The 26,671-nt window shown below is 35.9% G+C and overlaps 1 long non-coding RNA gene across 1 annotated transcript, besides 1 other annotated feature; it reads left to right on the forward strand.

Annotated features, from left to right (window-relative positions):
• The first annotated feature begins 7,170 nt into the window (after positions 1-7,170).
• Positions 7,171-26,149, forward strand: LOC107985396 (uncharacterized). Its single transcript, XR_001737794.1, has 4 exons — positions 7,171-7,295; positions 21,490-21,543; positions 22,029-22,113; positions 26,103-26,149. It is a non-coding gene; the product is annotated as an uncharacterized LOC107985396 (long non-coding RNA).
• Positions 18,471-19,376: an enhancer, noted in NCBI's record as "VISTA enhancer hs442". NCBI's record gives its function as "enhancer in: other[3/3]" and the evidence as "EXISTENCE:transgenic organism evidence [ECO:0001131][PMID:17130149]".
• Positions 26,150-26,671: the final 522 nt, after the last annotated feature.

The following is a 26,671-nucleotide window of genomic DNA, read 5'->3' on the forward strand; positions in this document are numbered from 1 at the left end:
AAAAAAGTAGAATCTTTACAAAATTGTGTTATTTGGCCGGGCGCGGTGGCTCACGCCTGTAATCTCAGCACTTTAGGAGGCCGAGGCGGGCAGATCACAAAGTCAGGAGTTTGAGACCAGCCTGGCCAATAAGGTGAAAACCCATCTCTACCAAAAATAGAAAAATTAGCCAGGTGTGGTGGCGGGGGCCTGTAGTCCCAGCTATTCCGGAGGCTGAGTCAGGAGAATGGCCTGAACCTGGGAGGCGGAGCTTGAGGTGAGACCAGATTGCGCCACTGCACTCCAACCTGGACAACAGAGCCAGACTCTGTCTCAAAGAAAAAAAAAAAAAAAGAAAAAAAGAAAAAAAATTGTGTTATTTAAATATTGTTAAATAGTCAGTTACTTAGAAGATAACAGAATTAAACCCTATTTTTTACCTTATCAAATGAAATTGTAGCTACATTAAAATATTGAAAATATAAAATAAACAAGAAATATTTTGAAAAATATCTAAGAGGTTACATATAAAATCCAGAGGCTGGAGACATTTGCTTCCTAAAACTAGAAATGTAGAGACTATAAACCAAAAGAGACATTTAACTAAATAAAATTTTTTTAAATTTTTGAATGGCAAGTGATACCATCGGTAAAATCATAGACAAAGACACAGATTCAAAGAAGTTATAACACAGAAGAAAGGCAGAGAGTAGTATCTACAATATATAGAGATCTCTTATAAATTTGCTAAGTAGGCATAAAAATTCTATTTGAAAAATTAAGCTGACAATGTGGAGAGTAATTTATAGATGAGTAAATCAAAATGGCTGGTAAACATATAAAGTTTCCCAAGCACATCAGTAGTCCAAAACGGGCAAAAAAGTATTAATAAGATATCACCTTACATCTATCAGAGAAGAAAATATTAAAATAACTGAGAATACTGTCCATGGTGGGTATGTGAAAAAATAAAAGGCTGTCTCATATGCTATGAGTAGATAAATGGATGGGTAGAGTCTTTAAAACAATCATTCAACTTTTGTTAAAGTACCTATCCAGTTTAACACGTCCATCTCTCTTCTAGGAAGCTCTTTCTTTGTAAGAAAATAAAAATCACATAAGGATTTATGGAGCTAGATGTTGTCAGTATAAAATGGGAGAAAATATGCAAATAAAATTCTAAACACAGTGAATAAATGACCTTCCCTAAGGAAATGGTTCAATACATTATGTTAGAAACACAAAACAGACTAAAAGGAATTATAAAACTTAAGAAATAAATGGTCATCAATAATGGGACAGATAGACATCATGTTCGTTTTGATGTGATAAATAATGGGACAAATAGACATCATGTCCATTTTGATGTGATACTGAGAATAATCTAATGCCACCTACATGGTATTCCTGCCCAAAATGTTTAACCAAACATTTTGGTTAAATGTTTGGTTAACCAAACGATTAGATGATGTTTAATCAAATCATCTAATCGTATGATTAGAATCATAAGAAACAAATTGAGAGATATTTTTCATTCTAACACAATTGACCTGAACTCTTAAAAAAAGTCAGTGTTGGCCAAACGCGGTGGCTCATATCTGTAATCCCAGCATTTTGGGAGGTCGAGGCAGGTGGATGGATCTCTTGAGTGCAGGAATTCAAGACTAGCCAGAGCAATATGCGGAAACCGCATCTACCAAAAACAAAAAATTACAAAAATTAGCCTGGTGTGGTGCCGAGCCTGTAGTCCCAGCTACTTGGGAGGCTGAGGTGGTAGGATTGCTTGAGTTCAGGATGTCAAGGCTGCAGAGAGCTGTGCCACTGCACTCCAGCCTGGGCAACACAGTGAGACCCTGCCTAAAACAACAAAAAAGGCAATGTCATGAAAGACAAAGCAGATTAGATAAGTATTCTATATCCAAGAAGACTATAACAATGATAACTAAATGTAATGCATGATCCTTGATTGAATGCTATTATAGATGGAAAACAAAGCTATAAATGGATGTAAGTGGTACAACTGAGAACATTTGCATAAGGATTGTTTTAGATAGTAGCATTGATGCTAAATTTATTGAGTGTGATCATTGTTTTGTGGTTCATAGAGGATTGTCATTATTCTTAGGAGATACTTTTTTTTAACTTTTATTTTAAGTTTTGGGGTTACATGTGCATTTTTTTTTACAGGTACACTCCTGTCACGGAGGTTTGTTGCTCAGATTATTTAATCACCCAGGTACTAAGTCTAGTACCCGATAGTTATTTTTTCTGCTCTTCTCCCTCCTTCCATCCTCCTCCCTGAAGAAGGCCCCAGTGTGTGTTGTTCCCTTCTTTGTGTTCGTGAGTTCTCATCATTTAGCTCCCACTTATGAGTGAGAAAGTGTGGTATTTGGTTTTCTGTTCCTGAGTTAGTTTGCTAAGGATAATAGCCTCCAGCTCCATCCGTGTTTCCACCAAAGACATGAAGGAAATACATATTAAAATATTTAGGCCTGAAGTTTATTAGTGTTATCAACTCTCAAATGGTTTATTCTATTATTCTTGCAACTTTTCTGTGAGCTTAAAATTCTTCAAAATAAAAAGAAAAAAAATGAGGAAATTGGAAAATTTATTTAAAAATTATCTTTCAAAAAACAAAACAAAACCTTCACTATGTTTTTACCCAATTCTAAAACTGTGGTGAGAGGGCAGAATTGGTTTCTAGTCCTTGGGAAACTACCAGGCTCTCCCTTGGGAAAATAAAAAATGTGGCTTCATTATGCAGAGAGGAGAAATAAGAGGGAGGGGCGAGCTCAGAGCTAAGCCTCTGCCTTTTCCATCTCCACCCCGACCTCTACTGCATCACCAGCTAGATTTCTTTTTTCTTTCCTATGCTGATAAAAGTACAATGTAAATTCCAGATACATAAAGCGAATACCTCTAAATGTACCTACTTAGGTGAGTGTAAAACTGATCTTGAGCCAGTCAAGTCTCTCCTAGTGATTTTTGAGAAAAATCACTGTGACCGTGCCAACGAATGTAAAAGGAAAGAAAGCAACAGCAAACACTAGGTCTTACAAGTGCTTAGTTGTGTTGCCATAATAATATTCTATAAATAATCAAGTTAATAATAAATTTACTGAACTTGTACCCTATGAGAAGTGAGATAATTCATTTGGAAATTCACCAGGTTTTCTTTAAGAAAATGGATACTACATATGTATATATTCCCTGACACCTGACACGTCTGAGATCATGTATGCCAAATTTTAGCCTGGAGGTAATTTTTACCAAGAAGTTATAAACCTCTGAAAATAGAGGTTAATAGGAAAAGCTAAAACATCCTTAATGACAAGGTTGCTATGGCAACAATATAAGCTTACCAGTAGCATCAAATATGTGTTGCATTTAGGTCTCCATGTCTCCTTTGATAAGTTTTCCCTGAGTGAAATAAAAGCATCAGTTGACTAGCACGGGAAGACTTTTTTCCTATGTCATAGAATCAGTGACTTACTGTGTAATTAGGTGAGCTAGTCAGATGGGAAGAAGATAGAAAAAGAAAGAACACAGATATGCCCAAACCAATGTTAACTAGGAGGTCGCTATAACCCAGTGCATGGTGACTTAACAGTTTTAAAAAGGAAGATCAAGGCAGAAAATTAAAAAGTAAACAGTTGAATTAGTATGGAAAAAGTAATCATGCAGTCATTTCTTTTAGAAATGGCCCAAACAATAGGCCAGACATATTTCTAGATTTTTACAAATTTGTTTTTAGTAATTCTAGCGCAGTGGTTCACAGAGTGTGGTCCACAGTGTTCCTCCAGGTGGTCAGTAACCTGGTCTCTTGTGGGGCTGACATTTCTCGTGTGAATATGTGGTCCTTCTGTTTCTGGCAACTATTAAAAATGTACTTATTTTATGTAATCAAAACCAGCCATAATTTTAGGAGCATCTCATTCAAAACTTCATTGTTCCTCTCATCAATTCCACAAAATGATTCTGGGCATTGCAAGCAGAATGGGGGAAATAACTGATCTAAATTGTTTTTTATTTTTACCTGATGGGAATCAGTCATTTTAGAGTAATACTAACATATTGGCATGAGTTTTTATCCCTTTATCTGCATTTCATAATCTCAAGAGGCATCAGGAAAAGTGAAGGGATTCAAATTTTGTAGATAATAAGACTTGAAAGAGCAAAAACCAAATTGTTCCCTTCAGACACAAAACATTGATGGCTAGATTTTCTCTTCAAGGGCAGACACACCACACAGAGTCCAATTCTAGGGCCTAACTCACCTTTAGGTATTTCCATCCTTCTGGAAAGTGAGTGACTCTTTTATGCCTCTGTTCAGTTCTTAAACCAAAAAAAAAAAAAAAGAAAAAAAAAGGCAGTGGAGTCTTTCATCATCTATAACTGGAGGACAAATTGGTGGGTCACTTCCACCTGATAAATGTCCACTGACCAAGGAGCACTGTCATTGGCAAATTATGCTCTTCTCTGAGGAAAATACAATCAGAATACTTGCCAGGCTCAAATATGAACATGAGAGGGGAAAATATTGTGTAGTGAAAAGACCATGGGCTCTGGGTTTGAATCCTGGCTATGTTCACTGGTTGTGTGTCTCTAAGCAAGCTACTTAAATCACTGAGTTGCAGTTTTGTCATCTGCAGTGTGGATTAACTGATACTTAACTCACAGATGCCCTGAGAATTAAGTGAAACAAGAAATATTAAGACTTCAATAGAGTTTATATAGGCATGTAGCAGAATTCTATACTATATATATATATATATATATATATATATATATATATATATAGTGATGTTTTAAGTTACTTCTGCATAAGTTTTCATTCATATGTGGACATGTCTCCTCTGCCATTAAAACATGCTAGAAGTCACCTCTTCATATGCAGAACGCCATTTATAGCTATTCAAAACCAATCAGTGTCAACCTACCTATGCAAGAACATCCTAATGATAAAGTAAATAATAAGGTATCTCAGACTTGGGTAAGAAAAATTGACATAATCACATCATTAGAAATATCAGGCTTGAATATTGGGATTTGAATAATTCAAATAAGATAGTAAACACAGCAAAGCTTTTTTTTTAACCCAGACAAGAATAAACTTTTATATATTTAGAAACATAATCCATAGCTAATGAGCCCAGTAGTTTAGAATCCGTTAAGTAGGTTTCTCTAAGAAGGAGATGTTGATATAAACAAATATACTAAACAACTGTCATTAGGGAAGTGCCAGTTATAATGAATCATATCGCATAGGCCCATTCCAACATTTGTATTTAAGTGAAATCATGTTAAGTGAACATCAGGTTGGGTTTTCATAGAAACGCAAGTCATGAAGCAATTCACTTGAGGAGACAGTGAAGGGGGTTCTAGCTATAATCCATAGAGCTAGTATCAAAGATCATGGGCAGACAGCATCTGCAGATGAGACTTGATTCGTCTACTCATCTAAGAGGGTGACTTTTTTTTTTTTGAGATGGAGTCTTACTCTGTTGCCCAAGCTGGGGTGCAGTGGCATGATCTCAGCTCACTGCAACCTCTACCTAGGAGGGTGACTTTTTTTATTTTTATTTTTATTTTTTTTATACTTTAAGTTCTAGGGTACAGGTGCACAACATACAGGTTTTTTATATACATATACATGTGCCATGTTGGTGTGCTGCACCCATCGACTCGTCATTTACATTAGGTATATCTCGTAATGCTATCCCTCCCTGCTTCCCACACAACAGGCCCTGGTGTGTGATGTTCCCCATCCTGTGTCCAAGTGTTCTCATTGTTGAATTCCCACCTATGAGTGAGAACATGCGGTGTTTGGTTTTTTGTCCTTGCAATAATTTGCTGAGAATGATGGTTTCCAGCTTCATCCATCCATGTCCCTACAAAGGGCATGAACTCATCATTTTTTATGGCTGCATAGTATTCTATGGTATATATGTGCCACATTTTCTTAATCCAGTCTATCATTGATGGACATGTGGGTTGGTTCCAAGTCTTTGCTATTGTGAATAGTACCACAATAAATATATATGTGTGTGTGTGTATTTTTAGCAGCATGATTTATAATACTTTGGGTATATATCCAGTAGTGGGATTGCTGGGTCAAATGGTATTTCTAGTTCTAGATCCTTGAGGAATCACCACACTGTCTTCAACAATGGTTGAACTAGTTGACAGTCCCACCAACAGTGTAAAAGTGTTCCTATTTCTCCACATCCTCTCCAGCACCTGTTGTTTCCTGACTTTTTAATGATCGCCATTCTAACTGGTGTGAGGTGGTATCTCATTGTGGTTTTGATTTGCATTTTTCTGATGGCCAGTGATGATGAGTATTTTTTCATGTGTCTGTTGGCTGCAGAAATGTCTTCTTTTGAGAAGTGTCTGTTCATATCCTTTGCCCACTTTTTGATGGGGTTGTTTGTTTTTTTCTTGTAAATTTGTTTGAGTTCTTTGTAGATTCTGGATATTAGCCCTTTGTCAGATGAGTAGATTTTTTTAATTTTTTGTAGAGATGGGGGTCTCGCTTTGTTACCCAGGCTAGTCTCGAACTTGTGGGCTCGACTGATTCTCCCGCTTCGGCCTCCCAAAGTGCTGGGATTACAGGAGTGAACCACTGCACGCGACCACTTATTTCTGTTTTTGATGGGATGCAGGCACCTCTATAGGTAGTGCAAAAATAGGAAAAGGGTTACTTTGGGAAGCCCATTTTAGTGACTGCACTTCCGCCTTCTGTAACTGGAAAATAATGTGCCTTAAATCAAGTGGTACTTCTAAAAGAATGTCTGGCATGATAGAATCAAGAGTGTGCGTGCATGATATTAAGTGGTTGGTATTGTTTACATCTTGGAAGCCAGGAATAGCTCACCATGAGCTTGATAAATTAGGGAAATTGGCAGAAATAACTAGGGGAAAATAAAATAAAGTATAATAAGAGGTAGAGGCTTAAGGAAATTAGTAATTTTTACTGCTGCTTCAGGGTAAGATATGACACTCAGAAGCCAGAAGCAAAAGGCAGAGATTAAAGATAGGTTCTGTCTGCTTCAGCGTGACTACAACAGAAAGTCTGGAGGGATTGCAAACCTAAGATGAATACCAGTCAGCAAAACAGTGCTGTTATTTAAAAGCCTAACATGGTAATATATTAACGTAAATATGACATGCCAAGCCCAGGAAGTAAGATTTCGTTTCTACGGCACTGGTGAAGACCTTATTAACGGATAGTGTCTAGTTTTGTTCTCAACACTTTAGGGGAATGTGGCAAAACTGGAGAGAGTCCAACAAAGAGCAACAAAAATGATAAAAAGGTAAGAAAATAAAGGCTGAGAGGAAAGGTTAATAACTAGGATTGTTTAGCCTGAAGGAGCAAGAAGGCTGGAGGGTGACTTAAAATCTGTTTAAATACACGCCTGGCCATTGATAATGAGCATGCTGACTAGCTGTTCCTCATGGACCTAATGAGAGAGTGAGGAGAGTGAGGAAGGCAGATTTATACTACAGCCTTAGATTTCTGTTTGATATAGGAAAACATTTTTTGAAGGGAGAAGAAAATGTTTTACACAGAAGCACTATATGAAGAGAATTGATGCAATTACTTTTGTTCAGGGTATCTAAGACAGCAACACAATGAGCATTTACCTGGTCTTAGAGTCAGGGAGCTGAGCCAGCCATAGAGTTTAGTTAGCCACTTTTACTTTCAGAAGGGATAAATGAAAAAAGGTTTAGTGGATATAGTTTATAAGGCTGCTGCCACAGGGGGAAAATCCATTTTTATAGTCATTAAACTCATTTTTCTTGGAAATACAAATACAAAAACTTTCAACTCCAGTTTTGTATTTGTGATTCGGGTAGAAAAGAAAACAGAGGAAGGTAATTTGGATTTTAATCTCTGCTCTCTCTCTTGCCCTGGTGAGATAGGAAGCTCTAATAGTGCCCAATGTTCAACCAAAATATTGGTTTTTGCCCTGGGGCCAGTTCTAGTCTAGAGCAGCAGATCTCAAAATGTGGTCCACAAAACCCCTGGGTGTAGCTGAGATATTTTCAGGAGTCTGCAAGGTCAAAACTATTTTTATATAAACACTAAGATGTTTTTTGTGGTTTCCACTGTAATAATTTTTGCACTGATGAAGTAAAAGCAACAGAGTATAAAATTGCTGGTGTCCTATTAGGAATTAAGGCAGTACCATCAAACCATAATAGTAGTCATCATATTCTTCACAGATAGATAGGTTCTTGCTGTAAAAAAAAAAAAAAAGTGGTTATTTCACCAAAAAATGTTGTTGAAGCAGCAGTAAGAATTACTAATTTCCTTAGGCCTCTACCTCTTATTATATTTCCCTTAATTTTTTTGTGGGCAAAATGGGAAGTATGAAAAACAAATTCTGCTCCACAAGGAAGCATGATGATTGACTCAGGAAAAAGCACGTGGATGATGGAGTTGTGAGCTGAACTAGCTGTAGTTTCCATGGAACATCATTTTTACTTAAAAGAATGATTGGCTGACAGACGTGGCTACTTGACAGATGTTTTCTCAAAAATGAACTAGGTTAACTTGTCATGTCAAGGAAATAATACAGTATCTGTTGACAATGATAAAATCTGAGGTTTCAAGGAAAAATTAGAATTTGGGAAGAATGGGATTTTGGACAGTTTCCCAATACTTAAATATTTTTCTAATGAGATGGGTGGGGGTATTCATAAGTGTGACTTTTTTTTATTGTGTAAAGAAATGTGTCAAGATTTGGAAAATCTATATTGCTCAATGAATCAATATTTTAAACATCACAAATTTATGATGTTACAAAATTATACATGGGTAAAAAGCACATTCAAAGTGCAAGTTAGTCAAAAGTTTTTAATATTAGAGCAGGAAAAGTTCACCATATGTTTTCAGATTGCACATTGACACTAACCGTAAGACACTAATGTGACAAATTATGGTAAATCTCAAAGAAGAATATTAACAGTTATCTGAAAAGGCTATTAAAATATCTCTTCCTTTTCCAACAACATATCAGCATGAGGCCAGATTCTCTTTATGTAGTTCAAAACAATATATTGCAAGAGATTAAATGTAAAAGTAGAAATGCTACTTTTCAAAAAATTGTTTTCATTCTGGAAAAAATTTTAATAAAAATATGCTGATTATATTCCCATGTTGCAGTTTTTTATTGCGATTTACATAAATATTTTTTAAAATTCTCAAAATTCATCTCCAGTGTAGTAAATATTGATAGATATAACTCACATAACCAAAGCTGTTTGGACTCATTAATAAATTTTTAGCATAAGGAATACCTGAGACCAAAAAGTTTGAGAACTGCTGACTTAGACATTTACTTTATGTCTCATGGTTCTCTAAGTTCTATTATTGGGCTATTATTCTCAACTAGTTTTTTGTTGAGCTAGTATCTTTCCTGTGTAACTATTTATTGGTAATAGGAGTTATGTTAACTGCTTGGATCATTTTTTCACTGACACTTTATCTTTATGGCATAAGCACTAACTGTACCGTAGCTCCTGGATAAGCAGGTACCTGGCAAATGCAAAGGTAGTCATCTTACCAGGTGTGTACAGATACAGAATGTCCAGAGGGAAAATAAATGTGAACTCATTTACTGGATACTGTGCTTATCCATGATACTCAGCTGACTGCAGCCATCCGCTTTTAAGCAGTATGGGATTCCAAGGCATGCCACATTCCTCTGAGCCTATCACCCCATCATGGAGTTTGTGAGGCTGCACAGCAGTCTCAGTATGACCCACAAGTTATCCACAGGCAAACTTAACAAAGCCAACCACTTCACAAATGGAGAAGATCAAATTCCCTAGTTATTTACAGATCTTCCAGGTTATATTAGGTGCCATATAAAAACCAGATTGGATTTTTGTTCCACAGTTGACCAAGATTCTACATTTCTTCTCCTCTTGTATCTGTAGAAATTTGCTGAGTTAATATAAGACTGGTATCTGGATGAAGATGACTTCAAAATATTTGGGGGCCTGATTTTGGACTTTGAGCTTAGGCAGAGAGTTTTTTAACTATTCAATGAAAATGTCTTTCCAATTATTTTCAAATATTTGATAATAGTTGTAGTAGGACAGTTTTCCTAGGAAACTTATTCTGAGATGCAAAGTTGCATGCAAATGCTTCATTTCTAGGAACAATATCTATTACAGTAAACAAGACCGGATTGGTCAGAGGGAAAAATTACAAGAGACACCTCAACCAATTCCACAAGGATCTTGGGAGCTGGGATGACCCTTTAGAATTGCTTTGAACTGAGGAAAGAGGTTCAGCCCACCAAATCCTGAATTTATCAGTAACTGAATTTAGGTTACCTCTATCTGGGAAAGAGACTGTAAACCTTTGTGAGGCCAGAGACAGACTCAGCCATAGGGGTCAGTAACTAACATCCCTGGCATCAAGAGAATGAGTGCTTTAGTTTTGAAGGAGCTGAGTCACATACACTGGTACAATGGATATTATGTATTCTGCTTCATTTTCCATTATGAGAAAATTAAATGGTCTAACGTAAACCTATATTTCCTTAGAATGTTTTCCATGTAATGTAATATTGGTTTTTATTTACTCTAGCAATAAGAAAAAATGTATTAAAAACAAAGGAGAAATTTTAAAAGGTCCCCTAGAAAAACAACTTTGAAATTGAAGCAAAGACCAACTTGACACATTGATTCAAGGATGCTAAAATGGGAAATCATTTACTTTTTGAGATTGGCTAGATAATGTTCAAATTTTAGCTCCCCAAATTTCTACTGATACTGTAATGTTATTAAGATTCAACAAACCAGATTGGCTGACTCATTTTTTAATATTTTCTCAGGACCTGTAATCAAGGGCCACTATTATGGAAAAAGGCAACATATAAAGAATAGAAAGTTAGAACTAGAGGAGACTATCTACCTCAGCCTCCTTATTTTACAAATAAGAGTTAACAGCTGTTTATTGAGTGTGCTTATTATTTCCAATGTTGTGTTATTAAATTACATATATCCTTTCTCTTCCTCACATTTCTGCAAGATGGTTGTTATGTTCATTTTACAAATGAGAAAACAGAAACTCACAGAGCTCAGGATATATTCCAGGTCACAAAGCCAAAAAAAAGCCAAGCTGGAATCAATAGCCAGGTCTGCGTTATTTGACCCTTTAGCCTACACTTAAATACTGAAGTATACTACTTAGGCAGATAACCATAAGATGTTTAGAAAAAACAACTCAAGAAGAGTGCTGTTATCCCATCTCTAAATTAAGAGCATAAATGTACCAGCAACTTGACTTTGCCATCTGATGGGTTGCTTTTGTGGGTCATTGAATGACTTTTGGAAACATATAATATTATAAATTCAGAGACACTTATAATTGCAAATGTCCTCTTACCTCTCTTATCTAAAGTGCTGTCATAAGTCATAGCCAAATAAAAAGTTTGCTCTAGATTAAGGGTAATCTTGGTGTCCTGAAGATTCTAATGCTTCTTTTGGCACCACACATTTTAAAGAACTCAGGGAACCCTGACAAAAGAAATTTGCTTGCTTTTTTTTGTTTGTTTGCTTAGCCTTTCTGTAGTCACAGCAATTGTGTTTTTTCAACAAACCCAATGCTGTGACTGTATAATGTCATCGTTTCCTCTTTCTTGCTCATTTATGCCTGTTTTGCTGTGACTTTTAAAAAAGTTATTGAATTCAATTATATAAACAGAAAATGACATTATATATACACTTTAATGGAAATATATTATTCTAAAGTGTATTATACACACAGAAGGGCACATATACCACACATGTACAGTTTGATGAATCTAATTTTCACAATTGGAAGATATCTGTGTACCCATCACTTTGTATTCTTTTTCATCAGATGTCTTCTGTATCAGCAGTATTTGGCTTAGAGGGGCAAACGTCACATAATGTGATTTGTCTTGTCTTCTTCCCCTACTTTCCACCTCTGTGTAGAAGTAAATGGCCAATAACCTCAGGTTTTATAAAGAGATGAGCAAAGAGTCCTCTTTGACTTTATAAAGGTGGGAAGAGCTAAGAATAAAAAGGTAAATTGGGACTGATGGAAGAACTTCAAAATTCCAAGGTGCAAATATATTGTCAGAGAAAAGACTTAAAAGAGAAAGGGTTAGGAGAAAATTGTGTTAATCTGTTTTGGTAGTACTGGAAAAAGTAATTTCAGAAAGAATAAAAATGTGAGAGATACTGCGGAAATTGAAGCAATACAACATGTCAACTCCTGGCCATAAGGTGCAGAGAAGAGTAAGGAGGCAAGTACTGCTCCAAAGTTTTAATCTTGGGTATCTAGGAAAATATGAATACCACTGAAATGAAATGCGAGCTGGAGAAGGGTGGTACTGGAGAGAATGCAGTGGAAGATTTTAAGACAGTGCAGTGTTAGAAATGTCAATTGCTTTACAAAGAACAAAAACAGGGAGGGCTGGAAAACTGTCATTGGATTTACTTATTGGAGCAGAAAGCAGATCCCAAGGAGTGAGTAGGTGGCAAGAAAGTGGAAACAATAAGTGTGAACTACCCTTTCCTTTCAAGAAATTTTACAAAAAAAAAAAAAAAGAAAGAAAGAAAAGGAAAAAGAGAGAGAGAGAGACAAAATCGCAAAACCAGGTAGTGCTTGGACAAAGGAAAAACTTGTTATGAGGATATGTAGAAAAAGGATGTGATAAAGCCTTAGCAAAAAAGAGGGAAGGCACTGGTGAAAGGTACAAGTGAAAGGCTTAGCAGGAGAGAGGAGGGCACCTTCTATGAGATCAGAGGGAAAGTTCAGCTTTTACATAGAAGAAAAAGGGAGAAAGCAAGCATTGGCCTTGACTTTCTCTATGTACTGGGAGATCATATCACATAAGAAACTGAGGGCAGGAAGAAATCTTGGAATTGACACTATAGGGGATACAAAAGGCTGTAAATCAGCAATGAGAACAAGTACTATCAAGCAGGAAGGAGGGCCCAGCTGATTTTAGGTAGCTTGGAACTGTAGTGGAACCAGTCAACCTGGCTTTGTGACTTTCATCAGCAATGTTTGGCAGCTTGGGACTGTGGGCTTGGAAGGCAGATGATGTTATTTACCCATTCTTGGGGATTGGAATGGCAGCCCTGGGGAAAGAGAGTGTGAAAATCTAATAAAGTGGCTGACCCTAGTGTCAAGGCTGGTTAGGCAAGCAAATGAGGCCAGAAGAGGGGCTGATGAACTGAGACAGTAGTGAGCTACCAAGGAATGGGGAGGGGGTAATAATGAGACTGAGAAACAGATTTCATTAGAAGTGAAGAGATGAGAGACTTCTATTGATAGGAGTTTGTACTCAGAGTTTATTGTAGCTTCAATTCAGATCATTTTAGAAGATAAACAAAATGGACAAATACGATAATACTAAGGTCTGACGATTTGGGGTGGGGGCGGTTTTACCAAAGTTTATTGTTGTTTGTTTGTTTTAAAGCCAATATTGTATAAACCTGTGCAGATACAATCACAAGAACATTATATCTAATAAGTCTGATGATTACCGTCTGCAACAATCTTCAAATTTATAGATGAGTTTTATAAGTTGTGAGGCCACTTTCATAAACAAGAATTCCCTTAATCCCTGCAACAAACTATGTCACTTTCCTTTTGAAGATATTAAAACTGTAGGTTAGAGAAGATCAGTGATTTATCTGAGGTCACAAAGAGAGTGTATTGGCCCATCTACATACGGCTATAAAGACTGGGTAATTTTTAAAAGAAAGAGATTTAATTGACTCACAGTTCAGCATGGCTGGGGAGGCCTCAGGAAACTCAACAGTCATGGTGGAAGGTGAAGGGGAAGCAAGGCACCTTCTTCACAAGGCGGCAGGAAGGAGAAGTGCTGAGCAATGGGGAAAGAGCCCCTTATAAAACCATCAGATCTTGTGAGAATTCACTATCACAACAACAGCATAGACGAAACTGCACTGCCACCATGATTCAATTACCTCCACCTGGTCTCTCCCTTGACATGTGGGAATTATAGGGATTACCATTCAAGGTGACATTTGGGTGGGGACACAGAGCCAAACCATATCAGAGAGTAAAAGCAAAGGCAGAAGGGGAAACCCTGGCCAAGACATCTGACTCCAAGGCCAGAATTTCTTTAAGTTTGTTGTCTTGGGTCAAAGTTAGGGTTGTGTTATCTGCCTTTGCTTTATAATGCTTCGGTAGTTTCTTTAATGCTCAGAACCTGTGGACATGAGCTAATTTACACAGCTGGATTTTTCCCAGCTCAAAAATGAATACATGTTCAATTATACTCTCAAATTTTGTAAATATCACCCTTAGTTTGTACTTGATAAACAGAGGCAGTATTAATTTTCAGGCATGATTATTTGAGTACATAAAGTTCATCATAAAATTACTTGAAGGCAGAGAAAATAAGAACTGAAAGATATTTATATATGATGTTATTGACCTGACTGATGTTAATATAGTAGACACAATATAGATACCACTCCTGTTTTTTTTCTCATTTAGGGGCAGGGCAAGAATGCATGGCAAGAAGCAAGTCTTTGTATCTCCACCTGTCAGGGTGGTAGCAGATTATAGAAGAGAGTGAAAATTTGTACCTGTTTTATGCTGGAATATAAGCTTTCTTCTGACCACTCAGCTTGAGCTGCCTGTCCATAAAATGGAGGGTCAATTTGGAGATAGTCATGGACATGATGGGCTGATGGTGAGAGATATATTGTCTTGATGTTCTGTGGTTCAGGTCTTGAGTGCTCTATGGCTTTATTCAGTAGCCTTTTTGTTTAGAGGATATTGCATTTAAACTATGCTCAACTGCCTTTTTTATATCAATAACCACAAAACTGGAGACAATTGCTGTCCTACTGTGGGCACCAAGTGATTGCCACATATCACAGTGATAGTATATGGCACTAATGGTTGACCATTTTTAAAGAGTGATTTAAGACAACTTTCCAAATGTCATCATAACCTGGGAATACAGAAAGGTTCAGAGGGTAAAAAGCAGAAAATGTTGGTGATATGTAGAGATTTCTGGGTCATGATGATGTCTGATAAATTATCCTGAATAACTAGAATATTAACACTAGCTCTTTGTTACCTCTTACATATCACTCTAGCTAATATTTCTTCCTTTCTGCTGGATAGCGAAAAAATTGCTTTGCTGAACATCATATTTCAATGTTGCCAGCTTTTCATTTTGTGAATTTGTCAATAGCACGGATCAAGTCAAATTACTGTTAATTAAATCTCAGAGGGACATCTTTAAGTTCTTGGTGTTGTACTTTCACTGCTGACAGCTTTTATTATCTAGAACATTTAATATTATAAAGGTACGTAGAGCCTAGAGGAATTAATACAAATGAAATGTGATGAAAGACCACAGGAAACATGGAAAGCAATATATATATATACATATATAGCAATATATATACTGATACAGCAATATATATAGCAATATATACATACATATATACATACATGTATACATATGCTATATATATACATATATACACACATATATACATATTGCTATATATATGCACTCATATTTACATATATGTACATATATGTATATATACATATATAGCTATATATATAGCAATATATATACGTGTGTGTGTGTGTGTGTGTGTATATATATATGAATGTGAGGCATGAGATAGGGAAGAGTCAAATAAAATGTAAAGAGTGACTGGTAACCATCTGAGCCAAAGTAGTAACTAACCAGATATGACTTGATGATGCATTTTATGTAAAATTGAATGTCTAGTATTCATCAGCAGTTTAGGAAACCTTATATACTTGTCATTATTATTTATTCACACTCATGGAAGTAAAGAGTGGTAAATTTGTTCTTCAGTAAACTTTCAATTTCTTCTCTTGAATTAACTTTTATATTCCATTGAGTTTTCTGTGTTTGCCTGAGTGAGAAAATCTGAAGTGGACAAATTACTCCCACTGAATTGGAATAAGTAAAAGACACATCAAACTTAATTGGGAATTGGTCTTACTTCTCTGGGCCTCCCTTATTGATAGAGAACATTTGGACTTGTTAATCTCTGCCCTTCTAACATCAAAGCTCGCTGACATATTATTCCAATCATCCGCACTCAATCCACGTGACAATGTGAATAAGCAATTTCTTAAAAGCCAAGATGTAGAGGGTTTAAACATCAGCAGTTTGGTCCATTTGGGATACCTGCCTGGATGAAATAATCAGAATTGTCCTGATTTAAATTTATTTTTAAATAAATTGAAGCTCTATTCAATGGCAATAGTCTTTGAAGCTCTAAAAATACATTGTTTCTGGGTTCATTTGCCTCATCTGTAAAGTTGGAGTTTTGTGTTAGGTGATATCCAAATCTCCTTCTAGTTCTGAAATGTCTATGAGCCTGAAAACTGTTTTTTTTTCTTTTTAAATGATGATTTCAACCATACTCAATTTTGTGGTTTTCCCCCCCTTTAAACGAGAGAATTACATGAGTTAAGATTTAGAGTTTTGTAACATGATAATTTTAGTCAACCATCAACTTATTTTTGATTGCTTAATCGTGGCATGATAGATACTAAACAACTGAATCTTTTCATCCTACTTTTCTGCTGGATATTTTGATAACCTATAATTAGTTTTAGAACCAATGTAAATAGTAAAAACTGGAAAAAAAGTAAAATTAGTTAAGTAATAATATATATCATGGTAGGTTTTTAATGAAATCTCTTTTCAATTTAAAGTTAAAACAATTTTGAAAAATAAACATTTGAGAAAATAACTATTGTGTGGTTGTGTGTTTATATCATATTAATAATGAAGTACATATAATCTCAGTATTAGTTGATGTGTCTATTTGCTTAATGGCACGTATGAGATGATAGTTAAATGGCAGCTTTGAATTGTGTTTTCTTTCTTCAGCATTGCTTTAGGGTACTTGTCTTTTAACAATTCTGATGGTCACAATAATTAAAGTTAGCAGCAAAGTCTCCTGGAAAGGGTGAGTACCAATGGAAAAAAGATAATATTTTCTAAGAATTTCTGGGAAGTGCTATGCTAATTAGGAAATTCATTTAACAATATAGTGATAGAGTGAAGTTAATGCTATACATCACATTGAAGAAAAGATGAAATTAATATTATTATTTAAATAAGGGTATTCAGCCTAAGTGAACATTCTTGATAATTTTAAGGTGTTTTGATTCTTAAATTTTAAGAATTAGACAAAATGGGAATTTAAAAAACGCTTTTTCAAAGATTTTGCATCACTGCTTAGTTTCTATTAACTTGTTTAAGTTTGTAATCGAGTATTTTTAAGTGCATAGCTATTGGTATACTATACATTTTTCTTCTTTTAGTTTGTTAAGATGTGCTTTACGTTCAAATACTATGATTTAGGTTTTTAAAGACAGCTATTAAATTATAATTACAATTAAAATTTCCAAACGGTTTTGCTATAGCCTTAGAGTGGTAGGTTAGTATGTATGTACTTTTTCTGAGAAATTGTATCTAAACTCATTAAACACTTGCACACACGTATTCATTTTTACACAGTAATACATACATATATGACATATATACACACATACATTGTACTTGAGTTTTTAGGACTTATTTTATGTATTTGGAAGCTACAAAATATACTAAAAACACCTATTTATGACTATAAAGGTTGTATTTTAATAAGTACTAATATAATACTAAAATGCTATAAAATAGGCCAGGCATGTAATCCCAACTATAATGCTGTAAAATAGGCTCACGCTGGTAATCCCAGCACTTTGGGAGGCCAGGCAAGTGGATCACTTCAGTTCAGGAGTTTGAGACCAGACTGGCCAACATGGCAAAACCCCGTCTCTACTAAAAATGGATGTCTGTAACCCCAGCTACTCAGGAGGCTGAGGCAGGAGAATCACTTGGACCCAGGAGGCGGAGGTTGCAGTGAGCTGAGATCATGCCACCGCACTACAGCCTAGGAGACAGGGCGAGACTCTGTCTCAAAAAAAAAAAAAAAAAAAAAAAAAAAGCTATAAAATGTTAAAGCATGTGTATGTTTCATACATGATGCTTTAGTAATCAGTCTGGAAATATATAATACTTATAACACAGTAAATGTCCATTTTCAGATTTTTTTAACTTTACTATATTTGGTTATCTTAAACTGAATGACATTTCAACATAGTTCATTGCACTGAAAATATAAACTAGTTGGTGCCATGGTGCCATCAGTTTCAATTTAGCAATCATGATGTTGCTTCAGCTAGCAGCAAACTTCTAATGGTCCAAGCATCAATTTTGTCCTTTTAATTTATTAAAATGAATTGCTCCGAAAAGATATTAAATGAGAATGTGCCCTGGGGTGCATATTCAACACTTTGTGGAGTATTATAAACTAAACATAAGGTAGTCAATGATTTTTACTTAGCAATATTTCATTTTTGTATGATTGCTAATAACTGAGTATTTACTACAATATCACTATGTAGTGGTAGATGGTGGACCTGTGTATGATACAAAAAGCTCTAAATATGATACAAAAAGCTCTAAATACAAAAAGCTCTAAAATTTGACTTATCTCAATTTCACATTCTTTTGTGTTCAGTTTGTGGTGCCTGGTTTCTGTGTGAAATGATTTCCAAGCTTTCAAATGAAAGCAGTTAAGAAACAAAATATTTACACCCTTCTAACTTGTGCTTCCTGTATAGCTAGATACAATACAGATGCTAAGTCACTGGTCTGAAAGAGCTTCCACAAATCTATAATAAAATAATTAAATTAGTGAGCTGTGTTTAGATCAGAGACCCTTGGTTGCCAACTCCTAAGAACTCAGGGAATTCAGAACCACAGAAGGATCATTTGGACTCCATTTGGCAGAGACGTCAGAAACTCACTGCTCTTGGGAACATCCTTTTCCAATAACATTTATAGTTCTAGATGGAAGCGAAAAGCACCATATGTTAAGAGTTTCCTGCAAAGCTTCCTGGTAAGAGAGGAAATAAATTCAACTTGTCACATCTGCTCGTGGGCCAGTCAAGTAGGATTTTATCACAGCCTTAAGTGGTTTACAAAACTGTCCTGTTATCGACTGAAGGGGCTTTGCATTTTAGGTTTTTTAATACTGATGTTCATAACCTAAATCATTAAACTATTTTTCTTCTTTGGACTTTAGCAGCATGCATCATTATTTGCTTTTAAGCAAGAAGAATTATTGAAAGCAATTCAACTAAAAATCACATTCCCATAGCATAGTCTCCATAGCCCTCCATGGCTTAAACTGCGAGAATGCCTACGGGTCTCAATTCTACCTCAGTTTCGACCCGTGGGTCCTTACACTTTGCATAATTTAAGATGGGAACTGCATTTAATCAGGCTAAATTGATTATCCACCATTCCAAAAAGTCCCAATTGGCTTAAACCGTGGCAAAGACCCATAGGGTCAGAAAAGATTTTTCTGCCAGAGGTATAGGTAATCACAGGAAAGGTGTTAAAACTTGCACTGTGAGTCACAAGTTTTCCCCTAAAGTGATTCATCTTTTTACCCTCATGCTTAAAAAACAAATGTTAGAGTCACTATGGGCATTTCAGTTTTCTATCATAAGCAAAATCCTTCTTAGTTTCCAAATCTACTGAAGATATAGTGCCATATGTAAGCACTACCATTTCCTAATTAAGCACAATTTAAATTGATAGCAGTTGTTCCAAACTAAAAATAAGTTCTCAATTTACCAACTCACAGTTTTACGTTCATGTCTTGCAATAAGGGAATAATCAAACCTACTAATTAATTTTTAAAATCATTTTAAAATTTAAAGATGCTTTATGTTAAAGTAACAATTGCAATCTTTAGATATTCCTAATTCTTTAAGTAATTATTGTATAGTAAGGGAATGTAACAGTTTCAGAGTGCCATACTATGATAAAATTTTCAGCATTTGTGTATATGTTTACATATACATATCACTCCAACAGGTGAATTATAAAGACACATACAAATTTAAATAAATCAGAATGAAGGAAAATAAAGTAGAATATTAAAAGAAAAAAATTTGACACACCAACCTTATAAATTTAAAAAAATAGACCGTGGAATATGCTCTAATTTTCCTAGTAGCCAAAAAAGAACAATTGAATGATTCACATTATTTTCAATGGTAGAAAACATTGTCAAAAAGATTTTACCACCACTGAGGTCTAAGAGAATCCTCATGGAATGCTGAATGATGGAGTCAAATACATGTCAGTATCTTTTCCTCCTCTCACCTCCAAAAGCATAAAGGCTTTGGCATGTTTCGTGGAGATATTTCCTGCACTATCATTCAATGTAACTTTGAACTTAAAGTGCACTTTAATAATAATAATAATAATAAAACACAAACAAAAACAATTCTACCAGTGTTGCTGCATTGCACAATTCTGAGGGCACTGTTAGTGTAGGTAGTACTGAAACAGGAAGCAAAAGCATCAATTGTAATAGAAGAATGGTGCTGGTTTCATAAATATGGCAACAATGAATACAAAATCTGTGATAAACTCTTTCCACAGTAACCATGGAACTTTCTACTACCAATCTTTGACACAAATATTTATTATAAAAGAGAGTCAGAATGGTAATTATGTACCTATGCTTGCTATGCTCCTTATAGATGACCCTGAAACTGCCCCATTCTTGATCTGTTTTCCCCTTCAGTATTTAGTATTAGAACCTAGTAACTTTATTTCCCATCCTCTTTTACAGCTAAGTTTGACCTTTCAGATCAATATGATGGGTGTGGAAGTGACACATGCCACTTTTCAATTATTTCTTTAAATGTACTTGCCATGAACTCTTTCTTCCCCCCATTCCTGCTGGCTAAGAAATGTTGATTCCTGGAAAAACTCTGGAAGTCATGTTTTGAGAATAGTGGAGTTGTCTCACCAATCATGCTTTTCTCACCTCTGGACTGTTATGTGAGAGAGAAATAACATCTATTTTGTTTAACAACCTGTCTTTTGTGTATGTTTTTAAAAATAAACCTCTTAATCCAACATCAATGTTATCTTCATCTGTGTTTACATTCCCATAGCTTTGGACTAGAGAATTGTAAAGAAAAAAACCTGGAAATAGAGAGAGAGAAACAGAGGGAAGAAGGAAGAGGAGGAAAGCAGGGAAGAAAGAAGGAAAAGGATGTTTCTATTTTAATCAGATGGCCAGAGAATCACTCAATGATCCCATGAGTCTGAATGTTTCACTAATAGCAATAATAGAATATTAGAATAACATTACATTTGGTCCAGCTGTATCAGTATTCAAATTTTGATCCCAACCTTTCCCTGCTTTGTGACCTTAGACGAGAGACTACAACTTTTCTGCTTCATTATTCTCTATAGTGTGATTTTGAAAATTTAAAAAAGCTAATTACTTACTGTATGCTGGGTCCTAGTCTAAGTGCTTTACATGTATTATTTAATTTAATCCTTTTTGCAATGCTATATATGAGAAACTAATACTGTCCTTATCTTATAGCTGAAAATATGGAGGCAAGGAGAGTTGAAACAACTTGCCCGAAATCCAAAACTGGTAGGTGGTGGAGCAGGCTTTTGGCATTAATTTCCCTGGTGTCTAAGAGACAGTGCCTTTCTAAATGTGATAATCTTTAAAGTACTTAGTGCCATGCTTGGCTATGATTATGTCTGTATAATTCCTGTTTAATAGCATTTCTCTGTTATAAAAAGTTGTACTCATAAATCATAATTATATTAGAAAATGCACAATAGCACAAAAAGCAAATAAAAGTCACTCACTCTCCCTTCACGCATAATCATTGCTAACATATGCACATAGACTTCTCTTTTAGTATCAGACTGTTCTTTTAATTGCTTGTATTACTTCACCTCATGTAGCCCAAGTGTCAGCCTTTATGCCCACCCCTGACTAGTCTCACCTGCTCTGATTTGTAACATGTGGCATGAGGAAGGATATTTCTTGTTGCTGAGTTAGTCTAAGACTTTGTTCTTCACAGTCATATTCTTTCTCAGCTATTTCAGCTTTGCTTCTCACTTTAGGCTGTCTCCATTGGAACTCTGGGACCCGGTCTTTCTAGCATATTGCTTCCATCCTGAAACATGGTGACTGGTGGGGGGATATCAGGTAGGTTACACTTTTCTTTACTTTTTGTCCATTTACTTTTCACAGCATCTTAACTCAAGTCTCTGTCTCCATATTTGACTTTTTAATGTGCTTGGGTAACTAATGGAATTACAATAAAAGGAAGAACACTGTAAGCATGTTTATTCAATTTGATTTTCTCATAATTTAAGAGAAAGGCAACCAAGAAGTTAATCTCATTCTTGGCTTCCTGGGCACTCTACAGTTTCTGATCTTCCTCTCCCAAACTCAGGCCTCTGTGTGGAAATGCAAAGGCAAAATGGGGATATTATCATTACTTTACTCATGGAATATTGTATGTATGAAATAATATGTATATGCTTAGTGTCTGGCATACAGTGGGTGCTATATGAATGCTATTAGTATTGCTGCTATTGAGGAGGCAGAGTGTAAACTAGCTTCCTGAATTATGCAGTCACCTCTTTAACATTGGAAAACTCACTTCACATTATTAGGCAGAACAACACTGGATACTTTTGTTTATATCTGCCTCACCTTTTAACGTGTGGCCAAGCAGCCTTCTGGGAATAAGAAACGCACCATTGTCAAGTCAAGTACCTGCTAAGCATACTTAGGCTACAAAAGAATCAGCTGAAGTTTTTGGATTTGGGCTATAAGAGATAACTTCTTTGAAAACATGCTTATTTTAGTCTCTGTCTTGGGAGAGGGCAGGGGTCAACCTAGTTTTATTCTTCTACTTAGACACATAGCATGAACATTTCTCATATTATTAAATATCCTTATAAATCTTGGTTTTGATTATGGACATGCTGAAGTGAACTGTTGAGTCAGAATCTTCTTGCTTTCATGAGGAAAGTAGATTTTCAAGAGGCTTTATAAGAAACTATACCTTTCTATAATTTTCTATGATAGTTTGCAAAATGATCTGCTTGTATCCCAAACACACTTCCTGCAAACTAATAGTAGGGAATGATTATTTACGTAGACCGGCTACAAAGTTTAGAGAACAAGAATATTTGAGGTAGAATAGATGTGTGTCTGGAATTGGTTCCTTCCGGTGGCTTCTTGGTCTTGCTGACTTCAAGAATGAAGCCACCGACTCTCCTGGTGAGTGTTACAGCTCTTAAAGATGGTGTGTCAGGAGTTTGTTCCTTCCGATGTTCAGATGTGTCCAGAGTTTCTTCCTTCTGCGGGTTCGTGGTCTTGCTGACTTCAGGAGTGAAGCTGCAGACCTTCCCAGTGAGTGTTACAGCTCATAAAGGTAGTGCGGACCCAAAGAGTGAGCAGTGGCAACATTTATTATGAAGAATGAAAGAACAAAGCTTCCACAGCATGGAAGGGCACCCAATCACGTTGCCGCTGCTGCCTCGGGTGGCTAGCTTTTATTTCCTTATTTGGTCCTGCCCACATCCTGCTGATTGGTCCATTTTACAGAGTGCTGATTGGTCCGTTTTTACAGAGTGCTGACTTGTGCATTTGCAAATCTTTAGCTAGACACAGAGCGCTGTTTGGTGCGTTTTTACAGAGTGCTGATTGGTGCGTTTTTACAGAGTGTGGATTGGTGCATTTACAAAACTTTAGCTAGACAGAAAAGTTATCCAAGTCCCCACTCGACCCAGGAAGTCTAGCTGGCTTCACCTCTCAGATATATGTTTAAAAACTAAGAAAATTGGTTATTTCAACTCAACAGTTCAGCAAAGATGTCTTGAGGACCGAATATATACCAGGTCACTTGCACTGAATATACAAATATGAGTAAGACTCAGTCCCCGCTGTTAGGATGTAACTGTCAGAGTCCAGCGTAAAGACTTAAATGAGGGGAATGATGAGTTTTACAACGATGTTGACCAAGTCATTATGGTTAAATTTTATCACCATTTTAGATCTTCCTGAATGTAAGAAAAGCAGAAAGGAACATTCAAATTATCATGAGACAATATGTTCCATTTATCAAATGCTGAAAAATAAGACCAAAAGAGAGACTGGCTAGCATGGAGTGATCAGGAGCTAAGTGATGCATCATTTCAAGGAAACAGTAAAATTCATATAACCTGTGAAATAAAGTAGGTGAAGAAACTGTAGATCCTTTTAGGCTGATTGTAGACCCTTTCTCAAAGTAAGAGGGCTTTATCTGTTTTTAATGAGAAAAATTATATCAGTGATTCATCAATCAGATATGTCAGCAACACAATGAATATAGCAGCACCTTTTATGGTATTACTTTTGGATGTGTGTGTGTGTTAATAAACATGCACGTATGTCTGTGCTCTCAGATGATGTATGCTTATTATAAAGAAACGATAGCTTATCTAAGTTCTTCTATAAAGCACTTAATAAAATTCAATAGATGTAGAAAGGTTTATACTATGAACAAAAATCACAGTGGTCCAGGAGCAACTTCAAGTTCAAAGAAGCAGCAGTTTGCAATAATGTCCTGTTATTTTACTATGTGTATGAGTTATTTTCAACTCCTTTCACTCTTGTATTACATTGGTCTATCTTAATATCGTTTCTAGAAAATGACAGTTAAATAAAGCCTAGAGGTCTTACAGAAGGCACAAAATACAGCCAGCAAACACTTGTTTCTGGGCATGAATGGGTCACTAGACTAAACGTTTTTGTCAGCTGTTAGAGCTAATACAAATGTCAGAAATATATCCCAAATTATTTTACTCTTTGGCAAAAGCAAGTAGACCATTATCCATGATATCTGATATAAACAGAATACTTAGCTGCTTAAGTTTATATTTTTCCTGTAGATGCACATTTATACCCGTGTACTCCTTTCTCAGCTGCAAAACTGACAGTTACATATGTTCCTTTCAATGCCTCAAAGAACCAACAACCAGGATACTAGAAGCACAGGCATTCCAAACTGGCAAGCAATATCGAAATATATGTGTAATGTCACTGGATCCAGAGATATAATAGCCAATATTTCTTAGCTTACATATGTATGTTAATATGCTTACGGCATGCCACGAACTATTCTGTTTTGTGGTGTTAGCTCATGTACTTCTCCTAAGAAGTCTGTGAGTAGGTGATACTAGTGTTCCTATTTTATAAGTTTGAAAACTTAGGCATAAAGAGAGTACATAACTCTTCAAAAGCAAAATAGCTATGAAGTGCCACTATGAGGTCTAAATCCATAGATTTCTCTCTCGTTCTTAACCACTATGTAAATGTATGTTCTTACATCTAGCCAGTCTAAGATTGACATGATGCTGATCTGGGAGTAGGGAGGGGTGCTTGGAAGGGAACTAGCTTTAAATTGGCCAAATCGGATTTCCACTACTCCCCCTTTGCCCTTATTTTTAAGATATTAGGTTTACATCATAGTTCTTTGTACAAGAGACCTACACAACTACTTTAGCCTTGTCCCGACACTGCCCCTTTGGTATAAAAGATACCGGGAGTGATTGCCCATGTGACTATCAGAAAGATTAACTTTTTTTTTTTTAAATTTTCAAAGCAGAACTAAACAATAACAGTTAATTTTTTTTTTTTTTTTTTTGAGAGGGAGTCTCCCTCTGTTGCCCAGGCTGAAGTGCAGTGGTGCAATCTTGGCTCACTGCAACCTCCACCTCCCAGGTTCAAGCAATTCTCCTGCCTCAGCCTCCCAAGTAGCTGGGACTACAGGCACGTGCAACCATGCCCCGCTAATTTTTTGTACTTTTGGTAGAGACGGTGTTTTACTGTGTTAGCCAGGATGGTCTCGATCTCCTGACCTCGTGATCTGCCCACCTTGGCCTCCCAACGTGCTGGGATTATAGGTGATAGCCACTATGCCCGGCCATCAATAACAATATTTTAAACCATATCACCTTTCATGCGGTACCACTAGAGAGAGAGAGAAGAGTAACATGTTGGTTCTTTGCATTTATGTTTTTTCTTTGAACTATATGGAATATTATTTCCATTAAGAAATATTATGTTCATTCAGGAAAAATAATCAATATAATTGAATATCTTCCCCAGGTCTGAATGTATTAATTTTTTCTTCTTTGCAGAAACATGGATGAATATCACACCCATTCTGCTAACGGGTAAAAAGAAGTCAGTTCAAACTTATTACTAAATAACTGTTTCAAAAATGTAAAGTTGGAAAATTATAGTATAAGAACAAGCAACAGATTTAAATCATAGGATTTATCACCCAAAATATGTATGCTTGCATTTTTCTTTGCATTGCATTAAGATGAAAGAAGAAACATGTAGGTCAAACCCTACTACAAAGAGTATCATTATCACAAAATTTCAACCCAAAAGACAGAAGAAATCATAACCAGGTGCAAGAATTAAGAACTTCAGATTTGATGACAGTAAAGATTGTGGAAAACTTTTTAAACACTGTGGTAAATTAATTCTAATTAAGCATCAACCAATTGCTTGTGGGGCTTCAGGAGTCAACCGCACTGAACACAATAAGGGTGCAAATACAATTTATGACTTGATTGCTACTTCTAGTACTGATGGCACACACCTAACTCTTATGGGCTTCATGAGATGACTGATGTCTTAAATCTTATTTTATTCAGTTTTCACAAAGGCACTGCATACCTGTCAAATCTGAGGTGCA

This window comes from Homo sapiens, chromosome 1 (assembly GCF_000001405.40).
Source record: "Homo sapiens chromosome 1, GRCh38.p14 Primary Assembly".
Taxonomy (NCBI): Eukaryota; Metazoa; Chordata; class Mammalia; order Primates; family Hominidae; genus Homo; species Homo sapiens.